The 17,840-nt window shown below is 54.5% G+C and overlaps 1 protein-coding gene across 3 annotated transcripts, besides 1 other annotated feature; it reads right to left on the bottom strand.

Moving 5' to 3' along the window:
• Window positions 1-396: 396 nt before the first annotated feature.
• On the bottom strand, window positions 397-15,883 carry CLBA1 (clathrin binding box of aftiphilin containing 1). 3 transcript variants are annotated; one of them, XM_005267318.5, is made up of 5 exons: window positions 14,817-15,883; window positions 12,583-12,728; window positions 10,051-10,180; window positions 8,607-8,723; window positions 397-2,450 (listed from the first exon to the last, which is right to left on the bottom strand). In XM_005267318.5, exons 1-5 carry the CDS (start codon window positions 15,237-15,239, stop codon window positions 2,442-2,444), a joined length of 825 nt encoding a protein of 274 aa, XP_005267375.1. In that variant the 5' UTR covers window positions 15,240-15,883; the 3' UTR covers window positions 397-2,441. The 3 variants fall into 3 exon arrangements, with proteins under 3 accessions (XP_005267375.1, NP_777551.2, NP_001351099.1); NM_174891.4 differs by lacking the exon at window positions 397-2,450 and adding an exon at window positions 6,155-7,073; NM_001364170.1 differs by lacking the exon at window positions 397-2,450 and adding an exon at window positions 7,080-8,456 and having other exon boundaries at window positions 14,817-15,392.
• Window positions 15,625-16,094: a silencer, noted in NCBI's record as "silent region_6209". NCBI's record gives its function as "represses an Ori minimal core promoter by ATAC-STARR-seq in GM12878 lymphoblastoid cells {active_cell/tissue: GM12878}" and the evidence as "EXISTENCE:reporter gene assay evidence [ECO:0000049][PMID:35858748]".

Raw genomic sequence — 17,840 nt, 5'->3', positions numbered from 1 at the left:
CCATGCCCAGCCTTTATTTTATTTTATTTATTTATTTAGAGACAGAGTCTCGCTCTGTTGCCAGGCTGGACTGCAGTGGCCCGATCTTGGCTCACTGCAACCTATGCCTCCTGGGTTCAAGCAATTCTCCTGCCTCAGCCTCCCGAGTAGCTGGGACTACAGGCACACACCACCATGCCCAGCCAATTTTTGTTTTAGTAGAGACGGGGTTTTACCATGTTGGCCAGGAGGGTCTCGAACTCCTGACCTCAGGTGATCCGCCTGCCTCGGCCTCCCAAAATGCTTAGATTACAGGCGTGAGCCACCATGTCAGGCCCCGGCCTTTATTTTATATTTGTGTAGAGATGAGGTATCACTCTGTTGCCCAGGCTGGTTTCAAACTCCTGGACTCACGTGATCCTCTTGCCTTGGCCTCCCAAAGTGCTGGGATTACAGGCATGAGCCACCACACCTGGCGAGTTTGACTTTTTGGGTTCCACGTATGAGTGAGATCACGTGGGGTTTGTCTTTCTGTACCAGCTTATTTCGCTTAGCATAAATGCTTCAGGTTCATCTAGACAGTTGCAAATGAGAGGATTTCATTTTTTTTTTTTTTTTTTTTTTACAGCTGAATAGTATCCCATTGTGCGTATGTACCACATTTTCTTTATCCATTCATCTGTTGTTGGACACCTAGGTTGGTTCCATAGCTTGGCTATGGTGACTAGTGCTGCAATAAACATGGGGGTGCGGGTATCTCTTCAACATACTGATTTCCTTTCCATTGGATAAATACCCAGTAGTGGGATTGCTAGATGATATGGTAGTTCTATTTTTAACTTTTTCAGACACCTCCATACTGTTTTCCATAGCGGCGGTACTACTTTACACTCCCACCAACAGTGCACAAGCATTCCCATTTCTCTACACCATCACCGACATTTCATCTGTTTAGAATAGCCATCCTAACAGGTGTGAGGGGGTATCTTATTGCAGTCTTGATTTGCATTTCCCTGATGATTACTGATATGGAGCATTGGTTTTGTATAGCTGTTGGTCATTTGTGTGTGTGTATATATATAAAAATAGATATATATATATTTTTGGAAAATGTCTGCTTGGCTGGACGCGGTGGCTCACGCCTGTAATCCCAGCACTTTGGGAGGCCGAGGCAGGTGGATCACCTGAGGTCAGGAGTTCGAGACCAGCCTGGCCAACATGGTGAAACCCTGTCTCTACTAAAAATACAAAAATTAGCCGGGCATGGTGGCGGGCGCCTGTAGTCCCAGCTACTCGGGAGGCTGAGGCAGGACAATCACTTGTACTCAGGAGGCAGAGTTTGCAGTGAGCTAACATTGCACCATTGCACCCCAGCCTGGGCGACACAGCAAAAAAAAAAAAGAAAGAAAGAAAGAAAAAATGTCTGTTCAGGTCCTTTTCCTATTTTTTCAATCAGGTTATCTGGGTTTTCTTCCTGTTACGTTGTTTGAGTTCCTTATGTATTTTGGATATTAACCCCTTATCAGACATATGGTTTCCAAATATTTTCTCCGATTTCCGAGGCTGTCTCCTGGCTGTGTTGGGCAGAGGCTGCCTGCTTTTCCTCGCTGTGTGTTATTCGAAGTTGTCTCTACATTTGGTTTGTTTGAATCAGGAGTCATGCGAGAGCTGCACATCACATGCTCTTACGTCTTCACTTAGGACCATCCCTTTTTCCTAGTGTTCTGCCATTTTCCATTTTGTTGATTTTGGCACTCAGTTTTATTTCCTTCTTTCTGCTTACTTTTGGTTTAATTTGCTCTTTTTCTTGCACATTAACATGAAATCTTAGGTGGTTTTGTACTTTTCTTACTTTCTAATATAAACATTTAAAGCTATAAATTTCCTTCTATGCACTGCATTCACTCAGATTTTGATCAGTGCCATTTTCATTATTCAGTTTCAATTACTAAGTTTCCAGTGACCTCTATGGACCCACTGGTTATCTGGACATGTGTTGTTTTCATGACCTCCTGCTGTGTAGCTGCCATCACTAGCTTCACAGCATGCAGCACCTACCATCTGTTACTGCCATGATCTCATGCCACGGCTTGGCTGGGCTCAGCCGGGTGGTTCTTGCTGGGATCTGTCAGGCCACTGCTGTCAGGCAGCAGCTGCAGCTGGATGCACCCCACCCTGAAGGCTTCCCTCCTCCCAGGGCTGGCATGCTGGCCGGAAAGCTCCAGCAGCTGGGTCCTTGGGCATCTTGTCAGCATCTCTGTGGGATCACTGCAGACATTTCTCCAGCATAGAGGCTTCAGGGTGGCCAGGTTTTTTGCATGATGGCCAAAGCCTCTGAAGGCCATGTCCCTGGCCTCTGATGTGGCTGACGGCTCAGTTATCTGCTTGGAGAGAGCTCCACGTCCACTAGAAAGAATGAGGGCTTTGCAGTGTCACTCAGGTCAGGTGATGGTCACGTTCCTTCAGGGCCTCTAGGAATCAAAGGCCAGGACAGATTTACACATTCAAGAAGTTTATTTGGGGAAATACTTATGAAGGACAAAAGGGTTAGAAAGCAGGAGCAGGCAGAGGAAAGCTGTCAGCCTCAATGCAAGCCTGGCATCTGTGGGAGGAAGGGCCTTTGCCACACCCATGGGCCCTGGATAGAGTGTCCATCTGAGGCCGAGGTGGGCAGAAACGGCTGGCTCTGCACCACTCTCTACTCAGCACTGACTGCAGACAGCTGGGAAGCGGCAGTAGCTGGCTGGGAGAGGGGCTTCCCTCTTGGGTCTGGTCCTCCATCAGTGTTATTTGGCACAGGAGCCCAGCATGGCACGATGGGCCCCAGCATGCCCCGTGTTTGCACTGGCTCTGCTCCTGAGCCACTCCAGTAGGGTGCTCCTGGGGGCACCTGTCCTGCCAGCTGTCCCTGCAGACCAGCTCCAGCTCAGCTCCTTTGCCTAGGCCTGTTCCTATATAGCCACACTCACTGTGAAAGGCCTGCGTCTCAGCCTGGGAGGGCAGGGGGCCTTGGCCAGGCCTTAATTCCTCACTGTACCTCACCGCCAACCCAGAGAAGCTGCTTTCCCGCACCTGCTACTTCAGGGCCTATTAAGTAAGTCTTTATTGAAAAACAAAAAACAAAAAGAGAGGCCAAGGCAGGAAGACTGCTTGAGCTCAGGAGTTCAAAACCAGCACGGCAACATCGTAAGACCCTGTCTCTAACCCAAGCCAAACCAAACCAAGACCCTTTTAGTAGTTAACCAACTTTTACTACTTAATTCTTTTTTTTTTTTTAAGAGATAGGGTCTTACTCTGTTGCCCAGGCTGGAGTGCAGTGGTGTGATCACAGCTCACTGCAGCCTCCAACTCCTGGGCTCAAGCAATCCTCCCACCTCAGCCTCCTGAGTAGCTGGGACTGCAGGTGAGCGCCACCACACCAGGCTAATTTTTTTTTTTTACTTTTTTGTAGAGATGGGGGTCTCACTATGTTGCCCAGCCTGGTCTCAAACTCCCGGCCTCAAGCAATCCTTCCACCTTGGCCTCTCAAAGTGCTGGGATTACAGGTATGAACCACATACCGGGCCTAGTAATTCTTTACATTTTTTCCTCTTCAGATAACTGGTGTGGTTTCTGTATCCTGGCTGATAATGCCTTCATTTTTAAAGAATATTTTTTTCTTTTCTTTCTTTCTTTATTTTTTTGAGATAGAGTCTCACTCTGTTGCCCAGACTGGAGTGCAATGGCGTGATCTCGGCTCACTGCAACCTTCCCCTCCCAGGTTCAAGTAAGTCTCTTGTCTCAGCCTCCCAAGTAGCTGGGATTACAGGCATGCGCCACCACGCCTGGCTAATTTTTGTACTTTTAGTAGAGATGGGGTTTCTCCGTGTTGGCCAGGCTGGTCTCAAACTCCTGATCTCAGGTGATCCACCTGCATCAGCCTCCCAAAGTGCTGGGATTACAGGTGTGAGCCCCTGTGACCAGCCTAAAGAATATTTCAATGTATGTGAACTTCTAAGTTGACCTTCCTTTTCCCTTCAGCACCGCAGATGTGGGTGCGTGCGTGGCCTTCTGGTGGGAAGTGAGCCATTGTTCCTATCGTTGCTTCTCTATATGAATCTCCTGTTTCCATCCTAGCTGCCTTTAAGGCCTGTAGGATGTGTTCAGGTACGGTTTTCTCCACGTCACCTCCTTGCAGTTACAGAGATTCTTGGATTTGTGGATTATTTTCTTTCATGAATTTCAGAAAGTTCTTAGTGATTCGGTCTTGGAATATTTCTTCTTTATTCTCTCCTGTTCCTGCTCTGGGACTCCAGTTACACCCAGTTAGGCCATCTGACTTTGGCCCACAGATCTTGGACCCTCTGTCGTCTTCCCTCCCCTCTCTGTGTTTGGATCTTCTTTAGTGACCAATCTTCAAGTTAACTGATCCATTCCTCTGTGATGTCCAGTCTGCTGTTAAACCCATCTAAAGATCATTTATATACTGTATTTTTCATTTGCAGCATCTTCATTCTGTCTTTTACTGAAGTGTCCCTGTTTCTGCTGAACATCCCTATCTCTTGGTGAATGTCACCCGCCATTTCCACAGGCCCTCCCCACCTCCCCAGAGTTCCTTCAAAGCCCTTGACTTCAGTTTTACCACTGGGGCTGACTCTGCTTCTACTGCTCACTGTGGCTCACGTTTTCTTGCCTTTTCATGTGTCTTGTAATGTCTTACTGCAGGCTAGACAGTTCATATAAAAGAACAATCGAGGCTGAAGCAAACAACGTTTAGTTCCACAGAGGGGCACGTGCCTTCCACTGTGAGGTTGCCAGAGTGGGAACAGAGTTGTCCTTCCCGGTAGTTGAGCTAGCTCTGGACTTCTCTGCAGCTGTAGTTAGGCCTTCAGACGCCCTGAGGGTGGCATCAGGGCATGGCTTCGGTGGGGTCTGAGCTTTGAGCACAGTGATTCTGGACATCAGCCTGTGTGTCGCAGCCAAGCCACTGGCTTTGGGGGCTGCATGATTTCTCCGTTCTTCAGCCGGACTGCCGTCCTTTTTGGCCACTGGAGGCTTCCTTTGCTCTCCATTCCAGCCCCTCGCCTTGCGCCCGGGGTGTCTTGCAGCCTCTTCCTCAGCCTTTGGGGGCTTGCCTCCCGCCCACTGTCCCAGCTCCCCTGCTGGGCCTCCAGACTTTGGGAACAAAAATCCCAGCATATCTGTGAGAGGGGCGTTCTCGAGGGAGTGTCCGTCAGCTCCCTGCCCCCACTCCCAGCTTTTGGCACTTTCTTCCTGAGCACTCAGTGTGGACCTGAGGGAGGCCAGGGAGCTTTGGACTTGCCTGTTGCAGGGTCCTCCAGACCCTGGGGGCTTGGCAGCCGCACTAGTGGACAAGTGGTTTGCATGTACGTCGCCTGGTCCCTCCTTACCTGACTCTGAGGGGCCTCTTCCTCTCACTCCCCTCTGGGGACGAGAGCAGCAGGGCCTCTCTTCTCTAGTGGGTGCCACAGAAGTCAGGTTTGGAACCTGTTGCTTCTGAGGTTCCTGTGAGGCCACAGGGAAGTCAGAAGAAAGGCTTGGCCTTCTGAGGTCTGTGGGTCACCAACATCCAGCCAGGTGAGGAGCAAGGGCCACCATGGGTGACACCATGATGCCATGGCACAGTCTGAACCCGAATCTTGGAGTGGGAGGAGCAGGATGGAGTATTTTGGCTTGTTAAAGTCTAACTTTTAAAGGTTAGGAAACCAGGGCATCTCCTGGAGGGGCTCTGCTGGCAGGGCCCAAAAGACAGTGCCTTTGAAGGAAGCTGTGTGTTAGAAAAACAGTCTCTAAATTCCCACTTTCCCCTGGCTGAAAATGAAAAATAAAGGCAGCTTTCCAAACCATGTGGTACCCAGAAACAAACAAACAAAAAGGAATTCTCCTCATCACAGACCTAGAGCCACGTGCAACATGGTGCTGGCTATGCAGCTGGGTGGCCGAGGCCAGGGTTTGTGCAGGGACATCTGCTTCCTCCTCCCTCATGATGGAAACTCCTGCCCATCACTGTGCACATCGCACTGATACCACAGTGACATGGAGGCTATGGTCCCCTGTGTGGCCTTGGCAGGAAAAGAGACAGCCAGGGTGGCTGCTTGCTTAAGACTTCAGGCCTCCCCTGGGGACAGGATTTCAGGTATCAGTCCCCCCAGCTGATGAACCAGTGACAACAGGCTTATCCAGGTGGTTTTATTTAGTAAAATTTTACAAAAGTCAGGGCTGACTTCTTGGCTCTGCCCTTCGAAGAGCACAGTTTTCCTTAGCAGATAACTGGGGGAAGCCACGGGCCCACCAGAGGCTCTCGCAGGCCAGTGGTGCGACCTCCTGTCCACAACCGTGAGGGACAAAGGCCTGTCCTTGAGGCTGCTGGGCAGGGGCCCAGGCAGTAAGTGAGGGCACCTGCGAGGCTCTGAGGACACAGCACATCTGTACACCCTCATGGTGCCCTGACCACACAGCAGCCAGGGCAGAGTGTGACAGACAGAGGGTTTCTGAGCGGTCTCAACAGCTGTCTCTCTGGTGACGTTTCAGTGCCTTCCCCTTTTCCTCTGAACTCATGGATTTGGCCACAAGTTGCTCCCCCTGGACTAAGCAGCCCAGAAGCCATGCCCAGGGTCCATCCCTGGGCAACCCCCCACCAGGTGCCAGCAGCATTCACATGGGGCAGGGGGCCCATGAGTGCCACCTGGACCCCGACAGCCTGTCATGGCATCCAGAAACCTCTGTCTCCCCTTGGCTCTGCCAAGGACACATCCTCCATCTCCTGGTCAGACCCGAGACAAGCCCAGAACACAGGACAGGTCCTGTTGGAGAGATCCCAGGAATGGGCCTGGGGTCTGGAAAACAGCTCCACAGACAGCTCTGGTTTCCACATCAACCCAGCCAGGAAGAAAATGAAAAATTCCTCATAAAGGTACAAAGTCCTCCTGATTTTAGCAAACGTCGCTATTAAAGAGTGTCAGTTTGAGCTTGCGTGGAGTGAACATCCTTTTCCTTGGAATAGTGATGTGCTGGCCACCTCCGCATGAGGGGGTCTTCAGGAAGCGGCTGCATGTCATCAGCCTCCCCTGTTTGCTGCCAGGCGGCCCCGAGAGCTGAGATGAGAGGACAGCAGTCAGGCGCGCGCACCCCGGGCAATGAGAAGCGCTAGCTTGGGCGTTTGCCCCTGGCCGCCCCCTGCCTCTCGGCCCCCTAGTGTTCTCTCCTTGGTTCTCCTCTTAGAAACCTTCTCATCATGGGATGTCACCAGAGAGGCGCCCAGGGAAAACATGCTGGGGCTTCCTCATGGTGCAGTCTGTGGCTCTGGCCTGCAGCCAGCCCCGAAGACAGCAGTGGGCCCACATCTTAGGCGGGGTCTCTGGCCCTTGTGCTACGTGTCTGGCACTCCCTGGTGGAGGCTGCCACTACCCTGCACACTCACAGCCCTCCAGTAGCCACTCTTGGACTACACCACAGACTTCCCCCAAACAGCTGCGGCTGGACGTCTCCCCCACCGGCTGCTGTGAACAACACAGCCACGAACATTTCTTTACAGCTGCTGCTCTAGGATAACCCTCCTGTGCTATGGTGCTTTTCAAAAAGATGGACAGCCTGTGAAGACGGCCGATCAGGGCCCTCTCCTGTTGCCCCATGGCACCTGTCGCCTGTCACCTGTGTGCTGATCATCCAGGGAACCCACCCCATGTCAGCTGGGGGCAGTGCCACATTCATGCCTAATTCTTGCCCAGAAGCTGACCCTGGCTGCCTCCTGTGCTATGCAACCTTCCTGCTGTCCCAGCTCAGTCTCAGGTCCTTGTTACCTCCTACCAGGCCACAGGGCAGTACTTTACCCCTGCGCCTCCCTGCATGTCACTCTTCATGCTCACAGCCGCCCATGCGCCCCTCCCACCATCTCCTGGGTGTACACAATGAGCCCCGACTGTTCCAAGGTCCTGGGTCTCCAGGGTGAGCAGGAAACCAGGTGAGCTAGGCCTGGCCATCTCACCCCTCCTGCAATACTTGGTCTGAGGGTGGGCTCCAGACTCCAGCCCAGAAAAGCTTTTCTTCCCCCTGATAAAAGAGAGAGCTGCAAGAAGAAGTCCCCTTCTCTGCCCATCTCCTCTTCTGCCTTGAGCCCGGCTGTGATGATGTGATGAAGTGACTCTGTGGCAAGAACCGCGGCTCATGAGAGAAAAGCTGTGGGCAGACCCTGTGTAGGGTAAGCGGCCCGTGACTGAAGCCGCCAGTCAGATCCGTTCACGACAGCTGCCCAGGCGGAGTCAACATCCCCTGGCCCAACAGTCACAGCCTGGTCCTGCCTCATCCTTCCAGCCTCGTCATCCACACCTGGCGTCTCAGCTTCCCTGCAGCTCTCTTCTCTCCCTGGCTTCTCCTGCGTGACCCACCCATATCCTGGGTCCTCTGGCCTGAGAGTCTTTCCGGATGGTATTTATATTCCTTGGCACCCTGCAGTGGTGTTCACAATTTGCCTGTCTGCCCTAAATAGCACAAATGTTTGTTTTCTGGAAGTCCACAAGACTTAAAGGAAGAAAACAAGCAACTGACTCACATCAGAGAAAGCGGAGGGCTCCACATGTGTGGACACCGCCAGCGCGGTTCCCTGAGGCCTCTCCTTGGTGACCACTCACCTTGGTCTGGATCAGGGCTTTGCAATGCTGGAGACAGAAGCTGCTGACAGTGAGGAGTCCTTCAGGCTCTTTGAGGTCACAATCTTCCATGATGTGGCCCTGGCCTCCAGAAAGGTTCTAAGGAGACAGACCCCATCAGACAGCCGGTACAGTCATCATTTTGTCTCCTGTTTCCTTTTCCCCTGAGCCCCTCTACTAATTTCATGCTAAAACTGCAAAGTTCTCTCAGGCCCCTCTCAAGGTCAGCGCACCAGTTTCCCCTGTGTCGCCCTGCCACTCGCTGCCTCATGCCCGGCTCACAGGCCTCGCTCCCCTTCAGGACCTCAGCGCCCCTCAACTGCTCAATGGGAATAATGTCTTCACGGCCACTTTCAGACACACCCTTCAGGCTGCCGCCACTCGGAGCTGGCCCGCACCTGAGGCTTCTATTCAGGCCTCCCCCATTTCCTAGCCTCCTGGTTCTCTGTTTTCCTCACACAATGACACAGTCAGGGCGAATCTCACTGGGAGCCTCTCTGTTCCTTTCTGCCCTTCACTTCCTTCCTGGCCAGCCCAATGTGGCCCATGGGCCAACAGGGCAACCATTTTCATGCCCCTGTCTTCACCAGGGCCAATCTGCCTGCCTGGCTGGCCCTTTTTGAGTTTTCCATGTTTGAAAATTTCCATAATATTTAAGAATGAGGAAAGATCATTGAAATCTAGATCTCTGAAAAGGCGGCCCTCCCTATGACTGGCGTTTTCTGCGACAGCCCAGGAGCTTGAGCACGTGCACGGCAGTCTGTGCGTGGCAGTGGCGCATGTGGTGGCGTGTGTGGTGTGTGTGCTTGGTGGCGTGTGCGTGGCGGCATGTGAGTGGTGGCGTGTGAGTGGTGGCCGTGGCAGTGTGTGCATGGTGGCATGTGGTGGTGTGTGAGGCGTGTGCATGGCGGCGTGTGCGTGGTGGCGTGTGCATGGCGGCATGTGGTGGTGTGTGAGGCATGTGCGTGGCGGGGTGTGCGTGGCGGCGTGTGCGTGGTGGCGTGTGCGTGGCGGCGTGTGCATGGCGGCATGTGGTGGCGTGAGGTGTGTGCATGGCGGCGTGTGAGGCGTGTGTGTGGCGGCGTGTGCGTGGCGGCGTGTGCGTGGTGGCATGTGCGTGGCGGCGGCAGTGGCATGAGTGCACACACACTGTTGCACATCTCTGAATGCGTTGTCTGCTGCAGGCTCAGGCCCGTTCCTTCCAGAGCCTTTCCCCACCTCCTGCTCTAGGCTTTGCTGGCTCCTGCCTCAAGCATTCGGGAGTCATCCAGTGGCCCTGACACGTTTATGGGGCCACCTAGTGGCTTTAACCCACCTGAACCCACACCTCTGCCTGCACCCACCCCTTGGGCGCGGCCAAGGGCCACTGGTGACAGTGAAGTTCAACCACACTCCCAGGAGCCCTGTGTCAACCCAAACCGCCTACCTTCTGCGCAGCATCTATTCCGAGAACAAGAAAGAAGTTCTCCTGGCAACGGGACTCGCTCCAGAGGCGCTGAGAAGTAGACGTGGTGTGTATGCTCTGAAGGGCTCTCCAGAGTTTTCTGGATTCGTTACTGGAAAACAGATGCACTTGTTAAAAGGTGACCTTGAGAGCCTTCTGAGGAGATCATGAGGCACGGCCCGAGGCACGCAGCGGGGCGCCTGGCCTTTACCCGCAAGCCGAGACGCGCACAAGCCAAGAGGCGTATGGCTGTTAAGAACTCTAAAAACAGTGTTCCCGGGCTGGGCACAGTGGCTCACGCCTGTAATCCCAGCACTTTGGGAGGCTGAGGCTGACAGATCAGGAGGTCAGGAGTTCAAGATCTGCCTGGCCAACATAGTGAAACCCCGTCTCTACTAAAAATACAAAAAAATAGCCGGGCGTGGTGATGGGCGCCTGTCATCCCAGCTACTGGGGAGGCTGAGGCAGGAGAATCGCTTGAACCCGGGAGGCGGAGGTTGCAGGGAGCGGAGATCGCGCCACTGCACTCCAGCCTGGGGGACAGAGTGAGACTCTGTCTCAAACAAACAAACAAAAAAACAAATAAAAACAGCATTCCCTGCAGGAGCACTGGGCTGTCTCATTTATTTGTTCATTTATACTTTTATTCAAACAACACGTGCCATCCTTCAACACCCCAACCCACCTCCCGTGCCCCCTCTATGCCTCACAGCACCTGCCCTGGAGTAGCTGACTTACTGCCGTTACTGTCTCCTCCAAGGAGTGGAAGCTCCGTGAGACCAGATATTTTGCTGGTTTTGTTCACTCAAGTGCCTAGAACTGTGCTGAGTACAAAACAGATGCTCCCAAACTACGAGTACCAGTGCATGCTCAGGAGAACAAATGAGCAAACCAACGGTGAATGTCTACTATGTGCCACACGTCACTGCTACGCACTGTGAGGGACTGAGAAGGTCTGCCTGCAGGAAGTTCACGTTCTAGTATGGAAGGGAAAATGAGTGCAAGGGCAGGTGCGGCAGCTCACACCTGTAAACCCAGCACTTTGGGAGACTGAGGAGGGCAAATCACTTGAGCTCAGGAGTTTGAGACCAGCCTGAGCAACATAGCAAAACCCTGTCTCTACAAAAAATACAAAAATTAGCTGGGTGTAGTGGCGGGTGCCTGTAGTCCCAGTACTCAGGAGGCTGAGGCAGGAAGATCGCTTAAGCCTAGGAGACGGAGGCTGTAGTGAGCTGAGATGGTGCCACTGCACTCCAGATGAGTACAGAAGAAGAGCAAATGTGCTAAACACCAAACCATTTCCAAAAATACCCCAGTGTTTCAGAACACACAAACCATGCTCTACTCCACCCCCAAAGTACCATCCAGCCTTCTGTCCCACGAGTGTCCAGCCCCGCCAAGTCCTGACACCCAGGACTCCCCATGCCTCTGGGTCCGCGAGTTGTGCTGCTGGGGACAGAGATGTCAATGCTGCCAGCACAGAGCCCACCCCCACCGTCAGCTTGCTGGGACCACATTCTCCACAGTTTTTCCCCAGGGATCATGCTTTGCAGAAGCACCACACACAGAGGGCACACGGGCCATCTGGGCAATGCTGGTTGCGGCCTTCTGGGCTCCAGGCCTCTGTCCTCAAGCCCCTGTAGAGGGTACCCTGGGGCAGGTGCTGGTTGGACCCCAGCAGAGGACACGGTGGGCCAGGGCTGGAGCCCAGAATGGCCTGTCTGCAGAGCTCTCTGAAAGTCCAGGCCTGCTCAGAGACACAAAAATCAGCAGGCTGACCTGGCTCTCCCCTGGCTGCTGGGAGACCCACTCCGCAGACCACACCGAGGGACAGGGAAGCTAGCTCACCCCAACCTTCACTTCCCTCCTCCCTCTGGGGCCTTGGGCCAACTTACCTCGAGCTTCTCAACCACTGCGGCCTAATCCACTCGAGCGCTGTCTGTCTTTCAATGCTCAGTTGAAAGTGTGTCCCTGGAAAATGGCCATCTGCGAGTGACTGCGGGTGCACTTTCCCCTAGGAGCCTGTGGCCCTGCAGGCAGCACCGGGAGCACCCCTGGGGCTGGGCCTGGGGCTGACAATGGGGCTCCAGAGTGTGGAACGTTTTCTAGAACTCTGTGGCTGAGAACCATGAGGCAGCCGGTGCCCACTCAGCCAAGTCCCCCAGAAGGCCCCTGTGCCCACTGCCCAGGCCCACCAGCCACTCGCACTGAATGCGAGGCCCCCACCCACTCCACCAGCACTGGCACTGAGACCCAAGGGGAGCTGGGCTTGGGTCCAGCTGCTCCAGGTGAGCTGGCTGGGGAGGAGGATGAATAGGGCTCAGAGTGGAAGGCCACAGCTGGAGCGCCAATCGTGCTGCCCCTTCTCATAGGACCCCTATGACCCACAGATGGCAGGGACCTCAGGAGAGATGCTACTCTCCATAAAGGCAAAAACAAAGCCTCACACACCTACTTTTATCAAACAAAAGTACAAAAGCAGTTGCTGTAAGAAATATTTCTTCAGTTCATTACCACAATTTATGTACACGTTCAACGCCAGGTTTTTCTTCACTGCTTATTTCTAGGAAATGGTCTATGGTGGAAACGTCTTCAGCTGCCTGCTGGACTGTTATTTCTTGAAAAGCACACTTTAAAATGTTCTCATAGCTGAGAATGGGCTGAAAAGAAAAGAAGAAAAGCATACCAAAGTTAGGAGAAAGACATACATAACGTTACCTTATTCCAAAGAAATAATTGTGATAGAAATGAAATTTGTAATTGATCATACCATTAGTGTTACTATCACTTGACATATTCATTCCTAAAAATCACCAAGTTAGCAAAATCACACAAAACCAGAGGACTCATGGGAAAGGTGGGGTTAGGGCAAAACATTCAAACTTCATCAGTGACACATGAAAAAAGATGACCACCCAATAATGTCAGTGCTGTTTTCCAGTTTGGTTAAGAAATTATACATGCGGCCGGGCGCGGTGGCTCACGCCTGTAATCCCAGCACTTTGGGAGCCCCAGGTGGGCAGATCACGAGGTCAGGAGTTCGAGACCAGCCTGGCCAACATGGTGAAACCCCCATCTCTACTAAAAATACAAAAATTAGCTGGGTGTGGTGGTACACGCCTATAATCCCAGCTACTTAGGAGGCTGAGGCAGGAGAATCGCTTGAATCCGGCGGGTGGGGGGCAGAAGTTGCAGTGAGCCGAGATTGTGCCACTGCACTCCAGCCTGGGTGACAGAGAGAGACTCCGTCTCAAAAAAAAAAAAAAAGAAATTATACATACTACAGTAAGCACAGCACTTTACCTTGGAAAAGACAAAGGCTCGCAGGCTGAGTTAGTGTGAAGGGGTAGGAGGAGGGTGGTCTGAACCGGGTGAAGTCCTAACACCAGGTGTTGACAGGTGTGCTACATTGGGGCACTAAGCGCTGTGTGAGGGTGTACGTGTGCGAGTCTCATGTATTCCAACGGGCCCCAGCTCAGCTGGGGGCAGTTTTCTGCATTTATCTACTCTTTCTTGTGAAATTTCAACTATGCTCTAATTGTTCCCTAATACATCAATCACGCTGGAAAACAAATCCTGTATTCAAAACAAGCATTACAGCAGACCTTACTCTATTAAGAGTGGATCTCATCAGGATTCCAGGGAAACTGCTTCAGAAAACAGTCCGGCCGGGCATGGTGGCTCACGCCTGTAATCCCAGCACTTTGAGAGGCCGAGGCGGGCGGATCACCTGAGGTCAGGAGTTCAAGACCAGCCTGGCAAACATGGTAAAACCCAGTCTCTACTAAACATACATATATATATATATATATAAAAAGTTAGCCGGGCGTGGTGGTGGATGCCTGTAATCCCAGCTACTCAGGAGGCTAAGGCAGGAGAACTGCTTGAACCCAGGAGACAGAGGTTGCAGTGAGCCGACACAGTGCCACTGCACTCCAGCCTCAGCGACAGAGTGAGGCTGTCTCAAAAAAAAAAAAAAAAAAAAAAAAAAAAAAAGAAAAGGAAGAGAAAACAGGCCAGCCCTGAGAACTACAATATCTTTATTTCCTTCCTCACTGGTTTTATTTCTGATCTCTCATGATGGTGCTTGGGATGAACCATTTGGGAAGAAGTGGCAGAGAAAGAGGAACAATGGAAGGAAGAAGACAGGAAAAGAGAAGGAGCGGAAGTGTCACCAAACGGTAAACACCCACAGTCTGCTCTGAAAGAGAGCAGGGGGCAGGGGCCTGAAGGCTGGGACCCTGGCTCCCGGACAGGTCGGAATGGGCATCACCCAATTCATTACAAGCTCCCGGACAGGTTGGATCCCGCGTCACCCAATTCATTACAAGCAAGTTGAAATGTGATCATGTGATTTTAGAATCTCTGAGACTTTTGAACTCAGCAGATTCAGAATTCAGACAAAAAGCTCCTCCTCAAATGCCCTGAGCTGGGGCCAGTGCAGCCCCCACCAATGGGGAATGGACAGGCTGGGGGAGGAATGGTCAGAAAGAGCGACCCAGCTCAGGTGGCCCCCACCTGGCCTTCGTGTGACCCATTTCTGCAGCCTCCTCTGCCAACTCATTGCTTCCCTGGCCTCAGGATGGGACTGCCAACCACATGGCCAGGGACGAAGGCCAGGAGAGAAGCAGACGCTCTGGGGCTGTCAGCCCCCTCCCTGGCCAGCACGCCACAGCATTCGAGGGCTGTAGGCCTCTTGGTGTGTACACGTCCCACTCAACATGGTGACCACAGCACAGCAGAAATACCTCAGAAGGTGGGACGGCAGAAGTTCCTGTCACCCAAGGTCCACCCTGGCATGGTTGGTGAGAACTGCACTCTTTTGGGGCAGAAGTGGTTCTCGGTGGCTGGGGTTCTGTGGGTCCCTCGAGGAGTTCAAGGGACTGTGAGAATTGTCCAGACTTGGCTGAAGATTCCCGAAAGCCTTCAAACTCCCCCCAAGTGCTGCTGTGTTCCCCAGGGTCAGGACATCGGGCAGTGCAGGTGGAACCGCCCTCACGGGGCATGGAGATGCTGGCTTTCCCATCGGACAGGAGAAGGTCGGGGCAGGTCCGTCTCCATTCCAAACTGTCATCACTCAGCCTCTCAGGTGCCACTCGGAGGGAAGCGCTGGCTGCTTCCTCCTGGAGGTCACTCAAAGGCTCTCCCCCCAGCTCCCGCCGGCCTTGCATCTTGGAGCCCCCAGGCCAGCAGAGGCCCGATGGGCAGCTGCTCAGGAGACATGCACGCCGGGGTGCTGGCCGCCCAGGACTGCCCAACCTTCCCCTGCCCTGGAGAGGGCCAGGGGACGCTGCAGGAGTGCCCCGGGCTGCCCAGTGGCTGACGGTGGAAAGTGCCCACGTGCTGCTGTGGAACTGACACAAACCACAGGAATGGCCCGGTCGCCCGGGAGTCCTGGCTTCCTCCCACGCAGGCGGGCGCGGAGTCCGACACAGAGGCGCGTACCAGACCCACGGCAGGTGTGAGAGGGGCGGCCCAAGGTGGGGCTCCTGCTCTGGAGAGAGCCGCGAGGGGGCCTGGGAGGCCCACGCTGGCCAGAGGAGCGAGAGCCGGGCGCCCGCGGGAGTCCCAAGTGGGAAGGAGTGGGTGCGGCGCCCCGGGGCCTCCCGAGAGTCCCTCTCGCACGCGGCCCGCAGAGCAGCCCTGGAACGCCTGGGCCTGGACAGGGCCCGAGGTGGCCGGCTAAGCGCCTGGCCCACGGCTCCCGAGAGTCCCCGCACCCACCTTGGTCGCCGCCTCGGCGGGGCCGCGCGGGACCAGGGCGAGAGAAACCTGCAACCAGCCGTTCCCTCCTGCCTGCGCCGCCCCGTTGCCTGGCAACGGCGTGCGCCAGCTCCGCTTCCGGCGTCCGTCGCCGTGGCGTCAGCACGCATCCGGGGCGAGGCCAGCGCCGGCCCCCGCCGTTCAGGACCCGCCCCGGACCCGCCCTCCCTGCCCCGGGCCGCCTCCGCTGCGGGTGGGATCGGGCTTCCACACTGGCCGAGCCCTGGGCGCCGGGCCGCTCGAGCTTTCTGTCCGTGCTCAGTTCGCCGCCCGAGTGGTTCTTTCTTTTTTTTTTTTTTCTTTTTTTTTTGAGACGGAGTCTCGCTCTGTCGCCCAGGCTGGAGAGCAGTGGCGCGATCTCGACTCACTGCAAGCTCCGCCTCCCGGGTTCACGCCATTCTCCTGCCTCAGCCTCCCGAGTAGCTGGGACTACAGGCGCCCGCCACCACGCCCGGCTGATTTTTTTGTATTTTAATAGAGACTGGGTTTCACCGTGTTAGCCAGGATGGTCTCGATTTCCTGACCTCGTGATCCGCCCGCCTCGGCCTCCCAAAGTGCTGGGATTACAGGCTTGAGCCACTGGGCCTGGCCCTAGAGTGGTTCTTTCTTCCTCACGACGAGCTCCCCAGGTCCGTCCCAGCGCACCCGTCACCCGCAGCCCCTTCTCCCGGCGCCCCGCAGCCTAACTTGCCGCGCCGCCGACCCCTCTGTGGGTGCAGCTGAGCGACGGCCCCTCAGGACCCCACCTGTCCCTGGCGAGAGCCAAGTCCGTCTTGCTGACTCCTGAATCCCAAAACCTCGCCCGCCCCTAACTCGTCCCCATTCCTGGGGGAAGGAGCTGCGGGGAGGCTCCACCCCTCCCTCGCAGGCCGCATGGAGTGCTCCCCTCCTTTGTCACCAGCCAGACCCGGGCAGAGCAGGGCTGACGGACAGCCCCTCTCCAGCCACTGGACGACCAAGGAGCTAGGCTGGCCTCTGGCAGCTCCCCTCCGGGCTTCCAGGCCTTCTGCCATCTGCCCTCACCCCCAGACTCAAGGAGTCAACCTTGACTCCATCTCCTCCCTGGCCTTCCCAGACTGGCCCCCATCACTGCCTCCTCTGGGTAAGGGGAGGGCCTGGCCCTGGTGAAGCCCTGAACCATGCCACCTACTGTCCACCCCCTATCTACCTCAGGCTCGCATTTCTCCCACCCTGGGGCCTGGGGCCCTGCCTGGACTCTGTCCTTGCTTGAATCACCCCTTCCCTCCCTGGTCCTTCTCAGCCAAGCTACAGAACAATTTAATTTTACAAATGACAAGATGAGATCATTCTCTGCACCTTAGACCCAGCCTCCTGTCCCCGCTCCTTCCTGAGGGGCAGAGCAGCCGGGCCATGCAGTATGGAAGCTCTTCGGTCAGACTGCCCAGGACTGGATCTTGGCTTGGCCACCCCAGCACCGCAGTGACCCTAAGGATGGTGATCAGGAGCTGGCTGGGTTTGTAGACCAGGCCTGGGCCTGTCTTGCCAGCTTAAGGGCAGTGTCCGTTCCCACTGCTGCCCCTCATCCACTGCACGTCCTTGCCGTCCTTGAGGCCCAGGGAGCTGGGAGGGGGGCAGGAGGAGTGTTGTCCTTGTGTACAGGTGGGGAAACTGAGGCCCCACCCCAAAGGCCTGCGTGAGAAGCAGAGCTGGGACAGGAGCTGCTCTCCTCGTTCTCTGCAATTCCCCACCCCCGTCTGGGCCTCAGCTTCCACGTGAAGAGCGTGGGGAGCACAGTACTCCCAGGGTGGTTGGAGGATAGAAATGACCCATATGGGTTGAAGAGCTGGTGTGGCAGTTGAACAGCCCCACAGAGATGTCCACATCCTAACCCCTGGAACCTGTGGCTATGTGACCTTACAGGGTCAAAGACACTTTATAGATGGGCTTAAATTAAGGCTCTTGAGAGGAGGAGTGGAGCCTGGATGAGGCATGTAATCACAAAGGTCCTGAGAAGGAAGCAGGAAGGTCAGAGTCAGAGAGGAGACGCA

The sequence above is a fragment of the Homo sapiens genome, chromosome 14, assembly GCF_000001405.40.
Source record: "Homo sapiens chromosome 14, GRCh38.p14 Primary Assembly".
NCBI classification, from domain to species: Eukaryota; Metazoa; Chordata; class Mammalia; order Primates; family Hominidae; genus Homo; species Homo sapiens.
This window is presented reverse-complemented; position numbering and strand designations above follow the sequence as displayed.

Coding starts and splice junctions, on each gene's coding strand:
- CLBA1 (NM_174891.4), bottom strand. CDS start 15,239: ATGCAAGGCCGGCGGGAGCTGGGGGGAGAGCCTTTGAGTGACCTCCAG. Junction 12,729..14,816: donor CTGCCGTCCCACCTTCTGAG/GTATTTCTGCTG, acceptor TTTTCTTTTCAG/CCCATTCTCAGCTATGAGAA. Junction 10,181..12,582: donor GAACGTGTACATAAATTGTG/GTAATGAACTGA, acceptor TCTGTTTTCCAG/TAACGAATCCAGAAAACTCT.